Source organism: Homo sapiens, chromosome 7 (assembly GCF_000001405.40).
Source record: "Homo sapiens chromosome 7, GRCh38.p14 Primary Assembly".
Classification (NCBI taxonomy): domain Eukaryota; kingdom Metazoa; phylum Chordata; class Mammalia; order Primates; family Hominidae; genus Homo; species Homo sapiens.
In genome coordinates, this window is record NC_000007.14 from 95,120,520 (window position 1) to 95,146,556 (window position 26,037).

At 37.4% G+C, this 26,037-nt stretch overlaps 1 protein-coding gene and 1 long non-coding RNA gene across 46 annotated transcripts in view; one reads left to right on the forward strand and one right to left on the reverse strand.

Moving 5' to 3' along the window:
• Positions 1-26,037, forward strand: part of PPP1R9A (protein phosphatase 1 regulatory subunit 9A) — a 389,180-nt gene that overhangs the window by 213,284 nt on the left and 149,859 nt on the right. For 43 of the 44 annotated variants that reach the window (XM_047420574.1, XM_047420585.1, XM_047420580.1 and 40 more), the window contains one exon: positions 193-313. In XM_047420574.1, coding sequence (XP_047276530.1) covers positions 193-313 — 121 coding nt within the window. Of the gene's footprint in view, positions 1-192; positions 314-19,055; positions 19,102-26,037 lie in introns of those variants that run through there. The other variant, XM_047420595.1, reaches the window with a different exon arrangement.
• The window catches only part of PPP1R9A-AS1 (PPP1R9A antisense RNA 1), a 178,641-nt gene that overhangs the window by 84,828 nt on the left and 67,776 nt on the right, over positions 1-26,037 (reverse strand). The gene's annotated exons all lie outside the window — the stretch shown is intronic.

Consider the following 26,037-nt stretch of genomic DNA (forward strand, 5'->3'; position numbering starts at 1 on the left):
GAGCCTTTTGGAGGATCTCATTAGATACCCTTACTGCGTAGCTTAGAAAAGAATTCTGCTAAAGCAAGCATGTTATTGTCCTATCCATAAGGAAAAATAAAATTAGAAACAGCAAGTAGGTCTCACCAGCTAATTGCAGACTAGTGTAAAACTTAAGTTGTTTCACCTCCCCCCTTTTTTTCTTTTTAATAGATGAGGATGGTCTTGGTATAAGTATTATTGGAATGGGTGTTGGAGCAGATGCTGGACTTGAAAAGCTGGGAATATTCGTCAAGACAGTAACAGAAGGTGGTGCTGCTCAACGGGATGGCAGGTAAATTAAGGACTGTTGTTAATAACTTAAAATCTTTAGAGAACTTTCCTGGAAGTTTCCTTCAGTTGTAGCTTTTTGCTTTTGTTTGTTGATTTTTTAGGATAGAATTTCAGGTTTCTCAGATGTGAAAATCTTTAAACACTTGAATTATTTTCTGATATGCAGGCAAAATATCTGCTTTCTTTAATATATATTAGGTAAATGAGTGGGCAGATCTATCAGTCTATACCTGTCTTTATCCATTCATCTATCTGGTGGGAAGTGGGCAGAAACATGGGTGTATATAGTTGTAAATGTGTGCTATGGAGGTCAGCACATAGTTTCACTTCAGAAATATTGAAAGAAATGATAATAGTTCTGGCATCTTAAAAAATGACACATGTAGATGGTAAGTTAGGAACTCTAATTCTGTATTGATGGTAATTCTGAAGGTCAGTGTTTCTCCAAATATATTTATGTAAAAACACAGGTTCTTGGGTGCACCTAAACCTGTAGAATTAAAATCTCCAGTAGAGGGGTCTGGCAGTCTGCACCTTGGATAATTCTAGTACACAGCAGAGCATCCAGATTATCACTGTTTTGTCTTAGCTTTCATAATCTCAAGCTATTTGTCTGTCTGTCTGTCTGTCTATCTATCTATCTATCTATCTATCTATCTATCTATCTATCTATCTATCTTAGGCGAAGATTTTGATTAACCCTCATACTTGGCTCTGATATATCAGGTTGAGGCTAGAAGCAGAAGGTGGTGTCTTAGTTTGTTTTGTGCTGCTATGGCAGAATACCTGAGACTGGGTAATTTATAATGAACATAAATTTATATGGCTCATGGTTCTGGAGGCTGGGAAGTCCAAGATTAAGGGGCCACATCTGATGAGGACCCTCCAGCTGAGTCATCCCGTGGCAAAAGGTGCAAAGGCCAAGTGAGAGAGAGCAAGAAGGGGCAAAACTTGCTTTTATAACAAACCCACTCTCAAAGAAATAAATCCACTTCCATGATAATGACATTGATCTATTTGTGAGGCCAGTGCCCTATGACCTAATCACCTTTTAAAGGTCTAACCTCTCAACACTGTTGCGTTAAGGATCGTTTTCAACATATAACATTCAAACCATAGCAGTTGGCAATATAATAAAAGTAGACCCAAATATACGACTGCTAAATTCAAAGAATTATTATGTTGTTTTATGTACATTTAATGAATAGCTTTAAATTTTTTTATGTTTAAGTATGTATCATTTGACCATCTTATCAAGAAATAATAAAGCATGTTGGAAAGAATTTGTGAATCTGTGAGGAGACCCAGAGCACCATTTTTTTTTTTTTTTTTTGAGATGGCATCTCATTGTGTTGCCTAAGCTGGAGTACAGTGGCATGATCTCTGCTCACTGCAGCCTCTGCTTCCCAGGTTCAAGTGATTCTCCTGCCTCAGCCTTCTGAGTAGCTGGGACCACAGGTGTGGACCACCACGCCCAGCTAATTTTTGTATTTTTAGTAGAGACGGGGTTTCACCATGTTGGTCAGAATGGCCTCGAACTCCTGACCTCAAGTGACCCACCTGCCTTGGCCTCCCAAAGTGCTAGGATTACGGGTGTGAGCCACCTTGCCTGGCCCATTGTTTCTGTTTTAATCCTAAAAATGCATACTGATACCCACAGATAGTTCTCAAAGAGAGCTAAATTGATTTATGTAAATACAAAACCACACCTTATATCTTCTTTTCCATGAGGTTAGGGATAACATCTTAGTTGGTAGCCTTGTTTGTATTCATATAGCACTTAGCATAATGCTTTGCATAGAGAAGGTTTGAAATAAATCTTTTGAGTGAACATTCAGCTGTCTACATTTAAAACAAAGAATGTGGAATATGACTATCTTGTGTCCCAAATTAACTTATTAACAGTCTTCCTCCTTTTCAGAGTAGTTAAGGAAATAACCTCTTTGCCCCTTTAATAAATTATATATAATGATAGTAGTATTTCCAGTTATTAATTTACCACCTTTCTTCCAAGAGAGCTAAAACTTGTTTGTAAAATATACCTCATTTCTTATTAAGTTTGATGAAAATTTTAAGATCATGGGAAATAATGCTACAGTTAGTATTCAAACATGCTTAATTGTTATGAACCATCCAGAAAGCCAAACCAAAGTACAACTTGATTAAAAGAAGAAAAAGTCAGAATATTTTGCATTAATAGCCATGTAACAGATGTCCTGAAAAAAAAAAGAAAGAAAAATAAAATTTTGCATTTAGTAGTTAACCAGTTCCTGTTGTTCTAAACATAGACATATTTATTTTTCCTTCAATCATTTTAAAATTAGGTTTGCTTTCTATTAACCTATTTACTAATTATTTATTCTTCTACATAGTTTCATTATTTATAACTACATTAGAACTCTGCTTTACCAGTCCCAGTGTACATTTATTTCCTCAGTCCTTTTAAATGAGTATTTTCCTAGTATACTAATCCTGTTGTTGTTATAATAGGTGCTTAATAAATGCCTCAGTGAATATATTAAGACATGTAACTTGGGCCAGGCGAGGTGGCTTATGCCTGTAATCCCAGCACTTTGGGAGGCTGAGGCAGGTGGATCACCTGAGGTCCGGAGTTCGAGACCAGCCTGGCCAACATGGTGAAACCCCATCTCTACTAAAAATACAAAAATTAGCTGGGCGTGGTAGTGGGCGCCTCTAATCCCAGCTACCTGGGAGACTGAGGCGGGAGAATCGCTTGAACCTGGGAGGTAGAGGTGGCAGTGAGCCAAGATTGTGCCATTGAGCTCCAGCCTGGGGGACAGAATGAGACTCAGTCTCAAAAACAAAAAACAAAAAAAAACTTCATGTGATGTAATGGATAGAATCTTTAAGAAAATGTAACTAGGAGCCTTCATTCCATTCCCTCTACTTATCATCTGGGGATATTCAACAAATTACTTAATTTTCATGTTATCTACATCGCAGGTTGTGGTAAGCATTAACTAAGTTTGTGTGAATAACCTTCCATAGTGCTATTCATATATATGAAACTGTTCTTGAACCAAGTAAGAGTAAGCTTGAAACTTAATAAAAAAAATAGTTATTATGGGAGAAGCCTCATGGAAAACTATTAAAGGTGTACAACATAAGTACAGAATCAAAATTTTAGAGGTCAGAGAAACTTTAGAGTTTTTATAATCAATACATTTTCTTGTCTATTAATAAGAAAATTGAGGGTGGTTGTATATGTGCATATGTGTGTGGGTGTCAGAAAATGACAAAATAAAATTATTATTACACTTACAACAGATTTATATCTTTTAAATTATTATTTCCACCACTACTGGTGTGTTCATTTGCACAGTGTTTACTGTTTACTGATGTTTACTATTTAAAAGGTATCAACATACAAAAGTGCAGTTCCTCTAGTCAATAATACATTTTAAGTTATGTACACTTACTGATATAGAAAAATATTCCATTAAGGATTTACAAAATAGTGTGATTAATATGATGCCCTTCTTGTGTAGGGTATATATTCTATTTCTTCTTTTCTCTCTCTTTGTTCCTTTTTGTCCTTATCTCTCAGTCATTCTCTTTCTTAAAAAACCTAAAATTAATATATACAAAAGTGTTGAATGGCTCTAGTGTATGGGTTTTTTAAAATTTTGGCTGATATAGAATATCTAATTTTGTAGAGAATATATACCACTTGTGTATAGTTTCTGAATTAAAACTAAAAATGATAAGATTTTCACCCCGAGGAAATTACTTGTCAGACCTCCTTTATTGACAGAATTAAAGTTCTGGGTTAGATGTTCTCTAAGGTAGTTCCTTTTAGCCTTGAAAGGATAAGATTCTGTATTATTGTTTTCTAGCTTTCTAGCTTGCTTTAGATTCTTAATAACTCTTTCTATTTAAGAAAATTTATTTCAATTTAAACTCAGATTTAGTCATACCTCCTTCAAGGAATGTTAAATGAGCAGACATGTATACATAGAAAGTTTTTTTTCTCCCCCTCCTCCCTCCTTCCTGCCCCCACAAGAAGCCTTTTCATTGTGATCGTTTGTATTCCTGTTTAAATGGCTTGTAAACTCTCACCACATTTTGAGTAGTTTAAAAAATTTGCCGTGGGTATTTATCCTCCTGAGTTTATCCAGTATAGTTAAATAGTTAAAAAGTTTTGACCCTTCCTTATTCTTTGATATTATCTCTTACATTCAAAATTTTCTTTTGTCAAGCTTTTCATGTGTGTACTTTATCCTATGATGCCTTAAACTTACAGGGTGCTCAATAAATATTTGTTGAATGAGTGAATCCTTGTGCTTTAGTCACTTTTTATTTTTTATTTTTAGAGGCGAGGTCTCACTGTGTTGCCCAGGCTGACCTCAAACTCTTGGGCTCAAGTGAACTCCCCACCTCAGCCTCCCAAGTAACTGGGAGTATAAGCGAGTGCCACAGTGCGGGGCTTTTAGTCACTTTTGAAACCTTTACTTGGGCTTATCATTTTTCTCTGTTTTGGTTTTGTGCTACCTTCCTTTTACAGAGTAGCTTTTAATTTAGTTGAATGATATGATAGCCATTTCTATTTCCTGTTTCTAAATTTTTAGTAAAATAATATTAAATACATTGACTATTAGTTTTTGTTGTCATAAATGTAATTTTTGGGATTGCACAGAGGACACTTTCACACACTAATGATTTTCCAGTCCTCATTCATGATTCCATAAAGCAAAATTAGTTTCATAAAAACAATTCAAAATGCTGAATTGTAGAGTAAATCACATGGATGGTAACTGACAAAGGATGTTAATAATGCTGTGCTAAATTAGAGGCAAATTAAAAGTCCATTTTGGACACACGTTGTTTTTGGGTCCTGTTTTTGTTTCACAAGCTTTTGCTCATCATCATTTTCAATCACTGTCCTTTTCAATTTTATTGGAAGAGATACCACATATGAAATTAAGGTTCTATGTAGTTTATCCTCATTCAAGTTTGGTTTTTAAATGATTTTAATTGTTTTTTTTCACATCTTTTGGGTAATACCAACATATACAATAGATTAAAGAGTCCTATTCTTTTGCTTATCCTGCAGCAAATTCACCCCCTCTTAGGACCCATCTTTGCCTGAAGTACCCTTCAGCCTAAGAGAACCCTGGATGGAAACTTGTTTTAATTGAATCTGTCATGGTCCCCTATTCGATGGTTTCCTCTCTGTGCACACACTCTCATGTTAGTCTTCTAATAAAATATTTTGCCTATTCACCCCTTAGATTTGGGCTATTACTGCTTTGATATGTATTTTCACAATTTTCACATACATTTAAAACTTCAGTATCTAGCATTTTGAGGAAGATCTCTGTTGACCTAAGTACATTAATGTTGCTCCAGCTGGTCTCCCTGTCATTCTTCTTTGGTGGCTTTGTTGACAAAAGCCCCGTGAGGTAGGGTTATTTTTTTTCCCTTCCCAGAAACACTGTGTCAATAAGTAACTATCCAGTAACATTAAACAAACCCTAGAAAAATCCAATTTATGTATTTTCATTACCCTTATCCCTATTGATTCTGGTTTTCAGATTAAGAATTGCAGGATCTCAGCAATATCACAGTGAGACTGAAGAGCAGTAGTGTTGTGCACTTTTGTTTATGGTAAGCACATGGAAACTATTGAGGAACTGGCCAGGATGAGATAGTTTTTACAAACTAGCCAGGTATGTTCCCATAAATTCCATTCCAGTCGACAGTATTTCCAGGGGAAACAGGCTATTTCCTCTGCTATCCTGGAAAACTTTGGAAAGTTTAGATAATCCATAGAACTGGTTATTCTTTGTAGTCTGGGATGGTCTGATACAGAACTCTGTCTAGGTATTCTTTTGTTTTTAACCACTGAGAGTCTTCCCTTGTCTTTTCTGTGCTTTTCATTACAGCTAAGATTTAAGAGAGATTATCAGTGTTACTGTTCTGTGAGGTTGCATCTAAAAGTTGTCTTCTCATGAGATAAAAGATACAAGCAAAGTGGGTGTTAGACACCAGAAAATTTTTCCCGTCACAGTAACCATTTTTGTATTTAATACTCTGCTGGCTCATGTTCTAGGGAGTTGTAGGAGCAATCTATAGTGGGAATAAACCTGAACCACTGCCTTTTTCATCCATTATTCCCCTCATCTCTCACCCAACCCTCTTTACCTCTCTTTCCTCTTCTCCTCATTTTTAGTTTCTTGAACTTATCTCCACCTTAATCATCACAGTTTACCTCCATAAAAAGGTAAATTGAAAAGCCCGTTATATAGCAAACTCCATAGAACTCCACTTCTCTTCCTCCCTCCCTCTCTCACTCTTTTTAAAAACGTTAAAGATGGTTTTTATTTCCTCATTTTTTTAATTATCAGATTTTCAAATTTTTTCTTTAATGAATGTATCACTTTGAAATGAGAAAAAAATTTAAATGGACACCCTTTTGATGAAAATGATAATCAAATAGCATGAAGCTTTCTTTGTCCCCCTTAATGTTTTCAGTATTAAGGTAGACAGGAAGAACTATGTAGAATCAGTATTTTAGTCATAGGATTCCTCTTTTTCACATTGATCTCTGATCTCTGAATGCAAAGAGCAAATCCAGCCGAAAGTCTATCGTTACTGTTTCTGTTGCATGGAATACTTTGCATCTTGTATCTCTTCTGTCTTCTTTTTTTCTTTCTTTTTTTTTTTTAAACTTTTATTTTAGATTCAGGAGGTATATGTGCACTTTTGTTAACTGGGTATATTGTGTCATGCTAAGGTGTGGGGTATGAATGATCTCATCACCCAGGTACTGATCATAGTACCCAATAGTTAATTTTTCAACCCTTGTCTCCCTCTCTTGCTCTCCCCTCTATTAGTTCCCAGTTTCGCTTGTTGCCATCTTTATGTCCATGATTACCCAGGATTTAGCTCCCACTTATAAGTGAGAATATGCAGTATTTGGTTTTCTGTTACTGCATTAGTTTGCTTAGGATGATGGCCTCCAGTTTCATCCTTGTTGCTGTGAAGGACATGATTTCATTCTTTTTTATAGGTGTATAGTATTCTATGGTGCATATGTGCCACATTTTTCTCTGTCTAGTCCACTGTTAGTGGACACCTAGGTTGGTTCTGTGTCTTTGCTGTCATTAATAGATTTGCAGTGAACATGTAAGTGCATGTGTCTTTCTGGTAAAATGATTTGTTTTCTTTTGGATATCTACCCAGTAATGGGATTGCTGGATTGAATGGTACTTCTGTGTTCTTTGAGAAATCTTTAAACTGCCTGCCACAGTGACTGAACTAATTTGTATGCCCACCAACAGCGTGTAAGCATTCCCTTTTCTCCACAGCCTCACCAGCATCTGTTGTTTTGACTTTTTAATAATAGCCATACTGATTGGTGTGAAATAATATCTCATTGAGGTTTTGATTTGCATTTCCCTGGTGATTAGTGATATGGAGCATTTTTTAATATGTTTGTTGGCTGCTTGTATGCCCTCTATTGAGAAGTGCTGTTTATGTCTTTTGCCCATTTTTAAATTGGGTTATTTGTTTTTCACTTGTTCAGTTGTTTAAGTTCTTTGTAGATTCTGGGTATTCGACTTTTGTCAGATGCATAGTTTGCAAATATTTTCTCCCATTCTGTAGCTTGTCTGTTTACTCTGTTGATAATTTATTTTGCTGTGCAGAATCTCTTTAGTTTAATTAGGTCCCACTCATCAATTTTTCTTTTCTTTTCTGTTTTGTTTTCTGTTCGTTTGTTTGTTTGTTTGTTTGTTTTGAGATGGAGTTTCGCTTTTGTTGCCCAGGCTAGAGTGCAATGGTGCGATCTTGGCTCACTGCAACCTCTGCCTCCTGGGTTCAAGCGATTCTCCTGCCTCAGCCTTCTGAGTAGCTGGAATTACAGGCACGTGCCACCACGCCTGGCTAATTTTTGTATTTTTAGTAGAGACAGGGTTTCTACCATGTTGGTCAGACTGGTCTCAAACTCCTGACCTCAGGTGATCCACCCGCCTCGGCCTCCCAAAGTGCTGGGCTTACAGGCATGAGCCATCATGCCCGGCCTTTTGTTGCAATTTCTTTTGAAGACTTAGTCATAAATTCTCTCCCAAGGCCAATGTCCTGAATGGTGTTTCCTAGGTTTTCGTCTATGATTCTTATAGTTTGAGGTCTTACGTTTAAATCTTTAATCCATCTGGAGTTAAATTTTTATATACAGTGAAAGCTAGGGGTCCAGTTGCATTCTTCTGAGCATGACTAGTTAGCTATCCTAGCACTATTTATTGCATAGGGAGTCCTTTCTCCATTGCTTATTTTTGTCAATTTTGTCAAAGATTAGATGTCTGTAGGTGATAGAGTTTGGCTGTGTCCCCACCCAAATCTCATCTTGAATTGTAAGTCCCACAGTTCCCACATGTTGTGGGAGGAACCTGGTGGGAGGTGATTGAATTTTGGGGGTGGAGGCATTCCTACATTATTCTTGTGATAGTGAATGAACCTCATGAGATCTGATGATTTTAAAAAGGAGAGATTCTCTGCACAAGCTCTTCTCTTGTCTGCCGCCATGTGAGATGTGTCATTCACCTTCTGCCATGAACGTGAGGCCTCCCCACCCACATGGAACTATAAGTCCAATAAACCTTTTTCCTGTATAAATTACCCAGTCTCAGGTAGGTGTTTATCAGCAGTTTGAAAACAGACTAATACCCCACAGAAAAAGTGGGGTATTGCTGAAAAGACACCTGAAAATGTGGAAGCGACTTTGGAACTGGACAACAGGCAGAGGTTGGAACAGTTTGGAGGGCTCAGAAGAAGACAGGAAAATGTGGGAAAATTTGGAACTTCCTAGAGACTTGTTGAATGGCTTTGACCAAAATGCTGATAGTGATATGAACAATAAGGTCCAGGCTGAGGTGTCCTCAGATGGAGAAGAGGAACTTGTTGGGAACTGGAGCAAAGGTGATTCTTGTTATGTTTTAGCAAAGAGACTGTTGTCATTTTGCCCCTACCCTAGAGATCTGTGGAACTTTGAACGTGAGAGAGATGATGTAGGATATCTGGCATAAGAAATTTCTAAGCAGCAAAGGCTTCAAGAAGTGACTTAGGTGCTGTCAAAGGCACTCAGTTTCAAAAGGGAAACAGAATAAAAGTTTGGAAAACTTGCAGCCTGACAATGAGATAGAAAAGAAAATCCCATTTCCTGAAGTGAAATTCAAATCAGCTGCAGAAATTTGCACAAGTAATAAGTAGCTGAGTGTTAATCCCCAAGACAATGGGGGAAAATGTCTCCAGGGCATATCAGAGGTCTTCAGGGCAGCCCCTCCCATCACAGGCTGGGAGGCCTAGAAGGAAAAGTGGTTTCATGGGCTGGTCCTAGGGTCCCCATGCTGCTTGCACCCTAGGGACTTAGTGCCCTGTTTCCCAGCTGTTCCAGCCTTGGCTGAAAGGGGCCAAGGTAGCTAGCGCTTGGGCTGTGGCTTCAGAGGATGCAAGCCCCAAGCCTTGGCAGCTTCCATATGGTGTTGAGCCTGCAAGTGCACAAAAGTCAAGAATTGGGGTTTGAGAACCTTTGCCTAGATTTCAGAGGACGTATGGAAATGCCCAGATGCCCAGGCAGAAGTTTGCTGCAGGGGTGGGGCTCTCATGGAGAATCTCTGATAGAGCAGTGTGGAAGGGAAATGTGGGGTCAGAGCCCCCACACAGAATTCCTACTGGGGCACTGCCTAGTGGAGCTATGAGAAGAGGGCCACTGTCCTCTAGACCTCAGATGGGTACATCCACTGACAGCTTGCACTCTATGCCTGGAAAAGCCACAGACACTTAACACCAGCCCATGAAAGCAGCTGGGAGGGAGGCTGTACCCTACAGAGCCACAGGGGTGGAGCTTCCCAAAACCACAGGAACCCACCTCTTATATCATGTGACCTGGATGTGAGACATGGAGTCAAAGGAGATCATTTTGGAACTTTAAGATTTGACTGCCCTGCTGGATTTGAGACTTGCATGGGGACTGTAGCCTCTTTGTTTTGGCCAGTTTCTTCCATTTGGAACAGCAGTATTTAACCAATGCCTGTACCCCCATTATATCAACTATCTAACTTGCTTTTGATTTTACAGGCTCATAGGCAGAAGGGACTTGCCTTGTCTCGGATGAGATGTTGAACTGTGGACTTTTGAGTTAATGCTGAAATAAGTTAAGACTATGGGGGACTGTTTGGAAGGTGTAATTGGTTTTGAAATGTCAGGACATGTGATTTGGCAGGGGCTGGGGCAGAATGATATGGTTTGGCTGTGTCCTCACCCAAATCTCCTCTTGAATTGTAACTCCCACAATTCCCATGTCGTGGGAGGAACCTGCTAGGAAGTGATTGAATTATGGGAATGGGTCTTTCCTGTGCTGTTGTCGTGACAGTGAATGAGTCTCACGAGATAATGATGGTTTTAAAAAGGGGAGTTTCCCTGCAGAAGCTGTTCTCTTGTCTGCTGCCATGTGAGATGTGCCTTTCACCTTCCGCCATGATTGTGGGGCCTTCCCAGCCATGTGGAACTGTAAGTCCAATAAACCTTTTTCCTTTATAAATTACCCAATCTTTGATATGTCTTAATCAGCAGCATGAAAACAGAATGGTATGGGGCATTATTTCTGGGTTCTCTATTCTGTTCCATTGGTTTATATGTCTGTGTTTGTACCAGTAGTATGCTGTTTTGGTTACTGTAGCATTAGAGTATAGTTTGAGGTTGGGCAACGTGATGCCTCCTGCTTTGTTCTTTTTGCTTACGATTGCTTTGGCTATTTCAGCTCTTTTTAGGTTCTATATGAATTTTAACTTTTTTTTTTTTTTGTCTTTCAGGAGGTAGGTGCTGGAATCTATCTGAATTTTTAATTTTATATATTTTTTCTAGTTCTATGAAAAATGACATTGGTAGTTTGATAGGACTAGTGTTGAATTTGCAGATTGCTTTGGTCAGTATGGCCATTTTGCTGATATTGATTCTTCTAATCCATGAGCATGGAATGTTTTTCCATTTGTTGTTGTCATCTATAATTTCTTTTAGTAGTGTTTTATAGTTCTTCTTATAGATATCTTTCACTTTCTTGGTTAGATGTATTCCTAGGTATTTCATTTTGTGTGTGTGTTATTGTAAATGGAATTTTGTTCTTGCTTTAGCTTTCAACATGAGTGGTATTGATGTATAGAAATGCTACTGATTTTTGTGCATTGATTTTGTCTCTTAAAACTTTCCTGAAGTTGTTTATCAGTTTCAGAAGCTTTTTGGTGGAGTCTTTAGGGCTTTCTAGGTATAGAATTATATTGTCCATGAAGATAGTTTGACTTCTTCTTTTCTTATTTGGATGTCTTATTTCTTTCTCTTACCTGATTGCTCTGGCTAGAACTCCCAGTACTATGTTGAATAGGAGTAATGAGAGTGGGCACCCTTATCTTGTTCCAGTTTTTAAGGGGAATGCTGCCAGATTTCTGCCCATTTGGCCTAATGTTGACTGTGGGTTTATCATAGATTGGTTTTGTTATTTTGAGGTATGTTTCTTTAGTGCCTAGTTTCTTGAGGTTTTCATCATGAAGCAATATTAGATTTTATCTAAAATTTTTCCCTGTCTGAGAAGATCGTATGGTTTTTGTTTTTAATTATGTTTATGTGGTGAATCATATTTATTGATTTGTATATGTTGAACCAACTGTCATGGCTTTTGTAGTTCAGTGGTGGGTGAGAAACACACCTAGCAGCTCTTTTCCCCCACAGTTTGGTGAGCAGGAGGGAGGATTCCGGTGTTACATGACCCCTTCGGTGCCGCTTCGCCAGCTGGAAATCTCTGCGGCCGATGTCTCTTTGCTCAGGCTCACTGGGTTCACGCTGCTCACCCGCCCGCTGCAGGCTGCACTTGGCTTGCACCCCAGTCTGGATGCTGCACCCGCCACAGGATCCACACTTAGTCTATGGCTGGGCTGGGTGTGCAGCAACCTGCTTCGGTCTTGGGTGCTGGCATCTAGACAAGGGTAATGTGGTGACACCCAGAAACTCAGAGGTGCCAGCAACTGTTGAGCCCCAAGTGCTGTTACAGCTCTCACCCAGAGAGTCCCAAGGTCTGAGATCCCCAAGAAATGTTATACCTTCTTCGTGTTACAGATCGTTTGCTCCTGCTGCCTGCAGAGTGGCAAATTCTGGGTTCTTGTGCCATGACCAAGAAGAATTAGATACTCAGACACCAGAGACTGAGTAGGGCAGAGAAGAATTATATTGAGCGACAGAAGGAGATCTCTCAGCAGAGAAGGGACCCAAGAGCAGGTAGCCCTCTGTGAGGCTGAGTCCAGGATTTTTATGGGCTAATAATAGGAAAGTGCATGCTGATTGGTCCATGGGCCTGCCTGGAAAAAGCACCATTCAATTGGTTAAAAGGCATCAAGGAAGTTCTCATTCCAGTCACGGGCTCTATGGACTGGTAGCTCAGTTTTCAGTCTTTAAACTGTCTTTGGCTTGTAGGTCGGGTTTCACCAGGGACCTGTCCCTGTCTGCCTAGGAATTTGTCTGCCTCCTTATGCTGTCATTCATAGCAAATAAGTAGCAGAGCCTGCCTGTATACCTAGGATATCTGACTCTAGTGCTTATACTTAAATAATATATTACTTTATATAATGTCATTAGTTTTTATAATAGACTTTAAGGATATATTATGCAGTCGTATTATATATATATATATATATATATATATATGCACATCATTTATATATTGTTTTACGAGTATGTTGTTTCAAGATATTGGTGAGGTAAGCATTTTTACATAAAAATTATTGTTCATCATTCTTTGAAATGAATTCTTAGGACCAGAAGACCATGTCCAGGTGCATTACATTTTATTTGATTTCATTATTTATTTATTTATTTGGAGACAGAGTCTTGCCCTGTCACCCAGGCTGGAGTGCAGTGGCATGATCTTGGCTCACTGCAACCTCCACCTCCCGGGTTCAAGCAATTCTCCTGCTCCCAAGTAGTTGGGACCACATGTGCACACCACCATGCCTGGTTGATTTTTATATTTTTAGTAGAGACAGGTTTTCACCATGTTTCCCAGGCTGGTCTTGAACCAGGCAGCCATCCTCCTGCCTCAGCCTCCCAAAGTTCTGGGGTTAAGGCATGAGCCACAACACTCGGCCCTAGGTGCATTAAATTTTAAATGCTTTAAAAACATATATGTTTATTGCAGCACTATTTACAATAGCAAAGACTTGGAACCAACCCAAATGCCCATCAACGATAGACTGGATAAAGAAAATGTGGCACATAGGCACCTTGGAATACTATGCAGCCATAAAAAAAGAATGAGTTCATGTCCTTTGCAGGGACATGGATGAAGCTGGAAGCCATTGTTCTCAGCAAACTAATACAGGAACAGAAAACCAAACACCACATGTTCTCACTTTTAAGTGGGAGTTGAACAATGAGAATACATGGACACAGGGAGGCGAACATCACACACTGGGGCCTGTTGGTGGGTGGGGGTCAAGGGGAGGGAGAACATTAGGATAAATACCTAATGCATGCTGGGCTTAAAACCTAGATGAAGGTTGATGGGTGCAGCAAACCACCATGACACATGTATACCTGTATAACAAACCTGCACATTCTGCACATGTATTCACTCTTGTTGCCCAGTCTAGAGTGCAATGGCGTGATCTCGGCTCACCACAACCTCTGCCTCCCAGGTTCAAGTGATTCTCCTGTCTCAGCCTCCTGAGTAGCTGGGATTACGGCATGTACCACTACGCCCAGCTAGTTTTGTATTTTTAATAGAGATGGGGTTTCTTCATGTTGGTCAAGCTGGTCTCAAACTCCCGACCTCAGGTGATGTACCCACCTTGGCCCCCCAAAGTGTTGGGATTACAGGCATGAGCCACCACGCCCGGCCTATGTTAGACTCTTGATAAGTATTCAAACACATTTGTGAGTGGAATGATTCCAGTTTCAGGAACCAATTTTTTTTCTTGGCAAATTTCCTTATAACTTTAGTTTTTAATGTTTGTTCTATTACTTTTCCTAAAGGCAATTTTCAATAATCTCTAGTCTTTGTGAGGGTCATATTGCCATTTACTTTTTTTAAAAAACAGTATTATACGTTAGGGCTGATGACTTTCGTTATTTGGAAAAACACTGTGACTTCTGAATCCATCTATTCTCAGTCTTCTTGTTGCTCTCATTTTGTTTTATCTTCACTTTAAAGAGTCAGCAGCCCCTCCTCTTAACATCAACCTATTTTATTCATACCTTTCTTAGCACACTTATAGTGTTTTTTATAGCTTATCACACTCCTGTGTCTCTAATGCCTGCAACACATATCCTGTATATGCATATACACATATTTACATGTATGTGTACATGTGCGTATTTGTGTATGTGTATGGTATCCTTAAACAGAGATCATGTCTTATTTAAATTTGTATCCCAGTAACTCTCTGTCCTTTTGCTATAGTCAGGATCAAATTACTTTTGCTAAATTACTAACTGGATTATTCAACCAAACCAATGAAGCAAGCATATTATTTTCCCTATTTATATTTTTCCAGCATTTTTGCTATCTTTCTTCTGATTAGATTACTTAGTCCCTTCAGTTGTACTTATTTCATTGCATTTTATCAGAATTGACAGGATGCTTATTTTCAGACATTTTTTGATCTAGTTTGTTCTTTCTTTATTTTTGCCCATTAAGGCAATTATCACCTTAGTTTTCGTTCACTTCTGATCATTCTATCTATTGATATTGTACAAACCTGTATTTTGCTTTTATTTTTTTCTTCCCAGTAAATACTAGCTCTGTACATATTTGATTTTTAAAACTTGTTTTCAAAGTTTTTTTATAATCTATTATTTAGTATTCCTCTTACTCACTCTTAATTTTTTGCCCTTTAAAAAAATATTTGCCTTCTCAAGTGCTCTTGCCTTATTAAAGTTGCATTATTAATCCTTTCACTTCATGAAAGTATGTGACAGTGATTATCTTTCTGTTTGAGAGATTAAGCTTTCAGCTTTACTTTTTTTTTTTTTTTTTTTTTTTTTGCTGGAAAGCCACCTCTGTTCATCCTTCAAATGCCATGGCTCAACTTTAATTTGGCTTTCAAAATACAAAGTATATTATAAATTAAATATTTGAAAGATAAAGAATTTCTTCTTGCCTTTATCTTCCGTATACGTCCCTAAGTCCACCAACTTGTAGTGCCATGAAAGTTGCTTGGCAGGATTGCCATTTGTAGTCATTTGTCACTCAGAAACATTGATGATTATTGCTATCAAAGAATATATTGAGTACTTGTTAATTCCATAGCATTCTATTTTATTTTATGCATAAGTTAAAAAGAAATAAAAGGCATAATTTCATGCTTTAAGGTAGTCTAGAATCAACTTATAACACAAAGTCTCTGCTCCTAACACATCTTTACACAACATAATAACTTTTATAAAGCAATACAACTAAATATTAAATTATGTGGTTGGGCACAGTGACATGCACCTATAGTCTCAGCTACCAGGGAGGCCAAGGTGGGAGGATTACTTGATCCCAGGAGTTTGAGACCAGCCTTGGCAACATATCAAGACCTTATTTCAAAATTAAAATCATAAATAAATAAAATGATGCAAGTCGTATATAAACATGCACAAAGATATAAAGTTAAAAATGGTATTAAGGTCATGTAACATTTAGTCAGGAAAGATGTTTTCTAGATAGTCTGAGAAAATAACATTTTAAATGATGATTGGCTAGGAGAATATGTGATTGTGGGAAAGAGAATGGCATATACATAATGATGGAGAACTCAGCAGGATATTTGCTTCTTTTAAGTCTCATTAACAAGTGTGTATCAGAAATACTTTCCTAATATTTGACATCCTAACTTTTGTTCCATCCAGAAAATAAAACCACAAATAAAAGGAATTCTTTCTTTTCCTAAAATGTCTTAATAAGATTAGGAAAACATATTTATTGCTCTGGGTTTAGCTATAAGACCCAAGAAGTTTGCACTCTGTCTGCTTAAAGAGACCTTATACATCAAGAAATACCACACAATATCTGGTAATATGTAATGTAAGTTTGAGGTATTCAGTGATATAGAAGAGGTTCAAAGGTTGGAAAAGATCATAAGCTTGGATAGGCAGGTGACTTCAAAGAGAAGTTATTTGAGCTGGACCTTCAAGAAAAGGCTTTTGAAAGGGTAGAGAAAGGACTTATGGGCAAAGTTTCATAAAAGATGCAAGTCTTTTTTTTTAATGTATCTTTTTATAATACTTTAAGTTCTAGGGTACATGTGCACAGCATGCAGGTTTGTTACATATGTATACGTGTGCCATGTTGGTGTGCTGCACCCATTAACTCATCATTTACATTAGGTATATCTCCTAATGCTATCCCTCCCCCCTCCCCCAACCCCACAAGAGACTCTGGTATGTGATATTCCCCTTCCTGTGTCCAAGTGTTCTCATTGTTCAGTTCCCACCTATGAGTAAGAACATGGGGTGTTTGGTTTTTTGTCCTTGCGATAGTTTGCTGAGAATGATGGTTTCCAGCTTCATCCATGTCCCTACAAAGGACATGAACTCAAAAAAAAAAAAAAAAAAAAAAAGATGCAAGTCTTTTCAGAGTGTGGCTTGCCTTAAAGCTTTTAGTTAATGTGAGGATGTTGCTGGAAAAAAATCAAGTCCTGTTGAAATGAAATTAAGGGTTGATGGCAGTAGGATATTTGGCAGGTAAATAAATGGAAACATACATGATGTTTGTAGAACAGAAGGCTCACTGTCTTTCAGATGTGAAATTTCCCCATATTGATCTGTAGAGTCAAAGAAATCCCAATCAAACTCTAGCAGGTTTTTTGTTGTTCTTGTTGTTTTTGGAGAAATTGACAAGATTGTTCTAAAATGCATATGGAAATGCAAAGGACCAAGATAACAGTTCTGAAAAAGAACAAAGTTAGAGGACTGACCTTATTTGGTTTTTCAAGACTTGCTATAAAGCTTCAATAATCAGGACAGTATGCCATTGGTATAGAAATATAGATCAATGTAATAGAAAAAAAGTCAGGAATAGATGAAAACATATAGTCAGTTGACTTTCTTTTTTTCTTTTTTTTTTTTTTTTGAGACGGAGTCTTGCTTTGTCACCCAGGCTGGAGTGCAGTGGCGCGATCTCGGCTCACTGCGAACCCCGCCTCCCAGGTTCACACCATTCTCCTGCCTCAGCTTCCCAAGTAGCTGGGACTAAAGGTGCCCGCCATCACACCCGGCTAATTTTTTGTATTTTTAGTAGAGATGGGGTTTCACCGTATTAGCCAGGATGGTCTCGATCTCCTGACCTCGTGATCCGCCCGCCTTGGTCTCCCAAAGTGCTGGGATTACAGGCATGAGCCACCGCGCCCGGCCAGCTGACTTTCAATAAAAGTACCATGATAATTCCATTGGAAAAAGTATAGCCTTTTCAGCAAAGTGCTAGAACAATTAGATACCCATATGGAGAAATAAAAAATTGGACCACAAACCCTGTTTCACACCATATACAAAGTTAATTCAAAATTAATTGTAGATCTGGACATAGGTCTAATATTATAAAAGCTCTAAAAGAATACAGAGGTGAAAATCTTTATAAAATCATATTAAACAAAGATTTCTGAGACAGGACACAAAGTACGAACCATGAAAGAAAAAACTGAGAAATTGAACTTCATTATATCCAAATTTTCGTTCTTTGAGAAACACAGTTAAGAACTGAAAAGCAAAGACATAGACAAGGAGAAAATATTTTCAAATATATATAAGAACTTGTATCCAGAATATGAAGAACACTAATAATGACAAGAAGAATAACCACTGAATGTTTAAAATATGGACAGAAGATTCAACAGCCACTTCAAAGTGGAAAACTTATGACTGGCCAATAGTATGTGAAAATATATTCAATGTAATAGCAATGCAAATTAAACTTTAATGAGATATTACTGCACACCTAGTAGAATGGCTAAAGATAAGAATGCTAACAATATAAAGTGCTGACATGGATACAGAGAAGTGAAACGCTCCCTTATGGCTAGTGGGAATGCAGAATTTCACTGCCACTTAGGAAAACAGTTTGGAAGTTTTTTTTAAAGTTAAATGTACACTTAACTTTTTGATCCAGCAATTCCACTCCAAGATATTTTCCAATAGAAATGAAAACATATGTCTACATAAAGTCTTGCATGTGAATGACAACTTTATTCATAATAGACAAAATCAGGAAACAACTTATATTAGTCCATTCTCACACTGCTATGAAGAAATACCCAAGGCTGGGTAATTGATAAATGAAAGCGGTTTAATTGACTCACAGTTCAGCATGGCTGGGGAGGCCTCAGGAAACTTATAGTCATGGCAGAAGGCACCTCCTCACAGGGCAGCAGGAGAGAGAATGAGTGCAGAGCGAAGGGGGAAGCCCTATACTTATAAAACCACCTGATCTCATGAGAACTTCCTCACTATCACGAGAACAGTATGGAGGAAAACCAGCCCCATGATTCAATTACCTCCTATCGGGTCCCTCCCACAACATGTGAGGATTATGAGATTACAATTTAAGATGAGATTAGGGTGGGGACACAAAGCCAAACCATATCACAACTCAAATTTCTATTTTGTGCTTTTGCCTCATGTCTTCTGAATGAGACTTTTGCAGAAGGTGCAACTTCAGGAATCTGTGATTTTCAAAATTGCTTCATGTTATTCTGTTGCAGTGAGGCAGTTTGGGAACCAGTGCCCTAGACTATCTTATCCAGTAAGGTAGGGACGCTGCTAATTCGTAGAGTACTTTTTTGCAAATTTGGAAAAACATGCCTTTTCTGGAAAGATGCAGTCTTATTGATGTATGGCCTGGCAGCTAGAATGAAGACTGAATTTCAGCTTTCTTTATATTCCCTCATGTGGGAGCTGTAGTTCATTGTTTCATGTACATTACATAAAGCAAAACATTAAAAAAAAAAAAAAAAGAAAAAAAAAACCCTGAAGCTTTGACTCCCAACCTCATCATGAGTAAGCTTAATCTGGCAGAGTATTTAAGCTAGATGAGTCTGGAATTAGCTAGAAGACTTTTTGTTTTTTGTTTTCCTTTAAAGCAAATCTCTAATACTACTACCACATTGCTACCAAAGGCATTACTACTTAGAGCTAGAGGAAAAGTAGAAAGAGGCTATACTGGAAGAAAATAAGAGAATGGCTGAGTAGCTCAAAGTGAACCCAGCTCTTGCTACTTGCTAGAAAGAAAAGAAGAAATGAAAGTAGAAGTAGGTGGTTGTAGCTCCATTCATTTTTCCACTGTAGGGGAGTGGAGCGTAAGCTAGAGAGAACTAGAGAAGGCCATGCTTTTCTAAATTTCTGGGAAGAATGACTAACAAAGGGAAAAAGTGATTATGGACCTACTGTATGAGAGAACAGAACCTCTGTCCCTCTAACCACATGGATCAAGTGGGAGAAGGCATATATACAGTATTCTAGAATTTTTAATCCACTATAATATTTAATCCATTAATTAATTTTCAATCAATTATAATTGCTTATTTCACTTTATTTTTTTGACAGAGTCCTGTTCTGTTGCCCAGGCTGGACTGTAGTGGCATAATCTTAGCTCACTGCAGCCTTTGCCTCCTGGGTTCAAGTGATTCTTTTGCCTCAGCTTCCCAAGTAGCTGGGACTACAGGCATGCCATTGTGCCCAGCTAATTTTTTTGTATTTTTAGTATAGACGGGGTTTTGCCATGTTGGCCAGGCTGGTCTTGAATTCCTGGTCCCAAGTGGTCTACCTATCTGAGGCTCCTAAAGTGCTGGGATTACCGGCATGACCCACCACAACTGGCCAGGAGATGAGAGTAGTTTTAGTTTTTATTTTTATTTTTTTGAGACAGAGTTTCACTCTATCACCCAGGCTGGAGTGCAGTGGCACAGTCTTGGCTCACTGAAATCCTCTGCCTCCAAAGCTCAAGCAATCCTCCCACCTCAGCCTCCAGAGTAACTGGGACCACTGGTGCACACTGCCACACCTGGCTAATTTATTTATTTATTTTTTTTAAAGAAGTGGGGCTTCGCCATGTTGCCCAGTCTGGTCTCGAACTCCTGGGCTTAAGCAATCCGCCTGCCCTGCCCTCCCAAAGTGCTAGGATTACAGGCTTGAGCCACTACTCCCAGCCTTAATTAGTTTTAATGAAACCACCACAATAAACAATAAAATATTCTTGAACTTAACTAACATTCCTATTTTCTATGGGTAAAGTATTTCAGTCTTATGCATGGTGAAATAAGGGTGAGGTGAAGTCAGATAAGGGACAGATAATAAAAAAATTTAAATGTCAAAAATGATAATCTAGGATGAAAATACCAGAATTAGGTGAAGACCCAGTGCTGAAGAAACTTGAAAACTAGGCCAAGTGATTAGAAATATATTTTATTGGAATGATGAAGCTGATGGTGTTTCAGATAAAATTGTTCTCTAAGATTTATTTTTTTACACCTTTATTGATATGTAATTCACATACCATATAGTTTACTCATTTAAAGTGTACAATTCAGTGGTTTTGTGAATATTCAAGAGTTATATAACCATCACAATTCATTTTAGAATTTTTACCACCCAATATTTTTACCACTCAAAAAGAAACCCCAAATCCATTAACAGTCACTTTCCTTTCCCCCCAGCTCTCCTCTCCCTTCTCTGCCATAGGCACAAATCTACTTTCTGTCTCTATACATTTGGCTCTCCTGGCCATTTCATGTAAATGGAATACAGTATGTGGTCTTTTGTGACTGGCTTTTTTTTTTTTAACTAGAGAAACGTTTTCAAGGTTCATTCATGTTGTAGCATTTATCAGTACTTAATTCATTTTTATTGCAAAATAATATTCCATTGACTTGATAATACCACATTTAGTTTATTCATTTTGATATTAGTTGATGGATATTTGGGTTGTTTTCACTTTTGGGCTCTTAAGAATAATGCTGCAATGAACATTCATGTGATAGTTTTTGTGTGGACATATTTTCATTTCTCTTGGGAATATATCTAGTGGTAGAGTTTCTGGGTCATATAATAACTATGTTTAGCCTTTTGAGCAACTACTAGAGTGGTTTCATAAGCAGCTGAGTCATATTACCTATTCACGAGCAATGTATGAGGGTTCCAATTTCTTTACATCCTCATGAGCGCTTGTTTTTATCTCTTTGATTATTGAGTGGGTATGAAGTATTTCATTTTAGTTTTGGTTTGCATTTCCCTGGTGGCTAATGATGTTGAACATTTTTTTCATGTGCTTATTGGCCATTTTTATATCTACTTTGGATAAATGAATATTCAGATTCTTTCCCCATTTTAAAATTCGGTTGTTTTATTATTGAGTTAGAGTTTTTTATGATATTCTGGACAGAAGTTTCTTATCAGATACATAATATGTAAACATTTTCTTTTAACTTATGAGTTGCCTTTTCACTTTCTTGATAGTTTCCTTAGAAACATAAAATATTTTAATTTTGATGAAGTTCAATTCATCTAGTTTTTTTTGTCACTTATACTTTGATCTCATATCCTAGAAGACTTTACATATTCTGAGATCATAAAGATTTACTCGTTCATCTTCCTCTAAGAGTTTTGTAGTTTTTAGTCTTTCTTATATTTAGGTCTATGATCCATTTTAGTTAATTTTGTATAAGGTGTGAGGAAGGGATATATTCATAGCTTCATTCTTTTCCATATGGATATTTAGTTTTCTAGCATCATTTTTTGAAAAGACTAGTCTTTTTCCATTGAATGATCTTGGCATCCTTGTTGAAAATCTGTTGATCATAAATATAAGTGTTTATTATATGGACAAGATTAATTTTTTTAATGAGTGATATGCAGAATGAATTTGAGGAACACATAGAGCCAATGATAATGAGATGAGTTAGAGGAAGTACCATTGTGAAACTGTATGGACCTAAACCAGTGAAGTTTGTTGGGTGATACATGTAAAGAGACAAAGCTGAATTATTATGTCTTCAGTATGCATTTTGTGTATATTATGTGTTATATATATTATTTATATTTCCATTATAATCATTCCTTCTCTTTTATCCAATGACTTAATATTATGTTATTATTTCATACTAACTGGACTGTGTGAAATGAATTTGGGAACAGAGGAGTCTCCTGTAAGTCTTCTCAGCTGTGAAATATCCTTGAATATCCCAAGGAATTCTCTGAAGATTGGAGTCCTGGCCCTCTTTGTTGAATTTGATTTAGCACATTAGGGTTAGACCAAGTTACTTGTATTTTATATAGCTGCCCATATTATTCCAATGTACAGCTCTGGACCCTCTGGCTTTTTATAATCAATTTCTAATGAACTGTCGTATCTTCCTATTAGTTATTAGTTGCTTAGCTTTCTGGTGTCATTTGTGATTTTCAGGTATCATCTCTTGTTTTTGGTCTGGTTTAGTCTTTATTGGCATTCCATAGCTGCCAGGCCATTCTGCCTTGCTAGAAGACAAATATTACAATTTTTTTCTTTTTTTCTACTTAAAACCTCTTAGATATCATAAGACCATAGATCTCAGACTTATTATACTGATTGGTGAGATCTGCTCTCAGAGTGGGGCCCACTGTATTTTAAACACGTACCCCCAGGTAATTCTGATATAGATGGTTAGAGGAACTCTGCTTTCGAGTGTTTCTAAGCCAATTTGTTATTTTGGTTGCAAGGATATTAGAGGTGATTTTATTGGTATTTACCCTACCGAGTCAGTAGTGCCTAAATCCTAACATTCAGTTTTCCTCCTTATGAAACCCCTGGCAGAGGCCCATGTGAGAAAGGAATCTTGGCTTAGTAGGAGGCTAAGAGCTAATACATTATTACCTGGGCTGGTACTTCCTGGGCATTATTATCTAGCAAGTATAATAGACGCAGGTCTGGTCACATGAATTAGCTAATATTTTATTTGACATTTCCTAGTTCTACTTCCTGTCCCAAATCGTCTTTTAATTTTTAATTTGTTTTTTTTTCAGGCTTATTGAAGTATAATTAACAAGTAAAAATTGTGATATTTTGATGTGCATATACATTGTGAAATGAGTGTATCATTAACATATTCATCAAGCTAATTAACATATTCATCAGCTCACATAGTTAATTTCGTGTGTGATGAGAACATTTAAGGTCTACTCTACTAGTGAATTATAAGTACACAATATGTTATTGTTAACTATACTCACTATGCTATACATTTGGTCTCCAGAATTTATTCATCTTATAACAGAAAGTTTCTACTCTTTGACAAACCTCTCCCCATTTGCCCCACTCCCCCCAGTCCCTGATAACCAGCCTTCTACTCTGTTTTTGTGTGTTTGACTTTTTGAGATGCCACATATATATGAGATCATGCAGAATTTGTCTGTGTCTGACTTATTTCACTTAGCATAATGTCTTCCAGATTCATCCATGTTATTGCAAATAATAAGATTTCCTTTTTTAAGGCTGAATAATACTTTATCATGTGTGCGTGTGTAAAATCACATTTTCTTTATCCATTTATCCATCAACAGACACTGGGTTTTTTTTTCCATATTTTGGCTATTGTGTATAATGCTGCAATGAACATGGAAAATACTGATTCCACATAGTGATTTTATTTCCTTTGGATATATTCCCAGAAGTAGATTGCTGGATCATGTGGTAGTTCTAGTTTAATTTTTGAGGAACCTCTATGTTGTTTTCTATTATGGAATGTACCGCGGCACAATAAAGTCCACATATGACAAGCCCACAGCTAACATCATACTAACGGTGAAAAATTGAAAACATTACCTTTAAGATCAGGGATAAGACACAGATACTCTTGCCACTTATCAACATAGTACTGGAGTCCTAGCCTAATAATTAGACAAGAAAAAGAAGTAAAAGGCATCCAGACGGGAAGGGAAGAAGGTAAACTATTCCTGTTGTAGATGACATGACCTGATTAAAGAAAATGCTAAAGCATGCACCAAAATTTGTTAGAACTAATAAATAAATTCAGCAAACTTGCAGGATCAACTTTACTGAGTGGACAACGTACAAAAATCAGCTGTATTTTACACACTAACAGTGAACTACCTGAAAAATTAAGAAAACAATCCCATTTCCAATAACATCAAAAAGAATAAAATACTTTGTAATATATTTAACTGAGGAAGTGAAAGATATGCACACTGAAAACTGTAATACATTGGTGAAAGAAATTGAAGAAGACACAAATAAATGGAAAGATACCTCGTGTTCATGGATTGGTAGAATATTGTAGAAATGTCCGTACTAGCTATCCCAGATCTAAATATGTAATAAACATTTCAAGTATTCAGGGAAATAATACAATGCCACTTCTTTAGAGGAGATCACCTAATATTTACAAGTAGAAGAGCTAAGATAAAACAGAAAAGAGTACCTTCTCACCTTTTCATCACTGATGCTGTCTGCAGTGAATATATTGTTAGTGGTGAAGACCAAACTATATTAAAGTTTAAGGGATGCAAATAAGCATGAGAATGAGCATGGGAAACCAGCCCCAAAATTCAGTCTTCAAGATTCATTAAAAGTTAAAACCACAAAAGGCAGAAAAAGAATTGAAGACAAACGTTGGAAGAAAGTACAAAGGCAAAAAATAGAAAAAAAGTAGCAAATATTGTAGATATTAGTCAATATTTGTTACTTTTGAATGTCAGTGGTTTAAGTACATCAGTTAATCACTTTGAATGTCAGTGGTTTACATGCATCTACTAAAAGACAGAAATTGCTGGGCATGGCGGCTCACACCTGTAATCTCACTGCTGTCAGGCCCTGGTGTGTGATGTTCCCCTCCCTGTGCCCCTATGTTCTCATTGTTCAACCCCCACTTACGAGAGAGAACATGTGGTGTTTGGTTTTCTGTTCCTGTGTTAGTTTGCTGAGAATGATGGTTTACAGCTTCATCCATGTCCCTGCAAAGGACATTAACTCATCCTTTTGTATGGCTGCATAGTAATCCATGGTGTATATATTCCACATTTTCTTTATCCAGTCTATCATTGATGGGCATTTGGGTTGGTTCCAAGTCTTTGCTGTTGTGAATAGTGCTGCAGTAAACATAAGTGTGCATATGTCTTTACAGTAGAATGATTTATATCCTTTGGGTATATACCAAGTAATGGGATTGCTAGGTCAAATGGCATTTCTAGTTCTAGATCCTTGAGGAATCTCCACACTGTCTTTCACAATGGTTGGACAAATTTACATTCCCACCGGCAGTGTAAAAGCATTCCTATTTCTCCACATCTGCTCCAGCATCTGTTGTTTCCCGACTTTTTAATGATTGCCATTCTTACTGGCGTGAGATGGTATCTCTTTGTGGTTTTGATTTGCATTTCTCTAATGACCGGTGATGATGAGCTTGTTTTCATAAGTTTTTTGGCCACATAAATGCCTTCTTTTGAAAAGTGCCCGTTCATATCCTTTGCCCACTTTTTGATGGGGTTGTTTGTTTTTTTCTTGTAAATTTAAGTTCTTTGTAGATTCTGGATATTAGCCCTTTGTCAGATGGATAGATTGCAAAAATTTTCTCCCATTCTGTAGGTTGCCTGTTCACCCTGATGATAGTTTCTTTTGCTGTGCAGAAGCTCTTTAGTTTAATTAGATCCCATTTGTGAATTTTGGCTTTTGTTGCCATTGTTTTTGGTGTTTTAGTC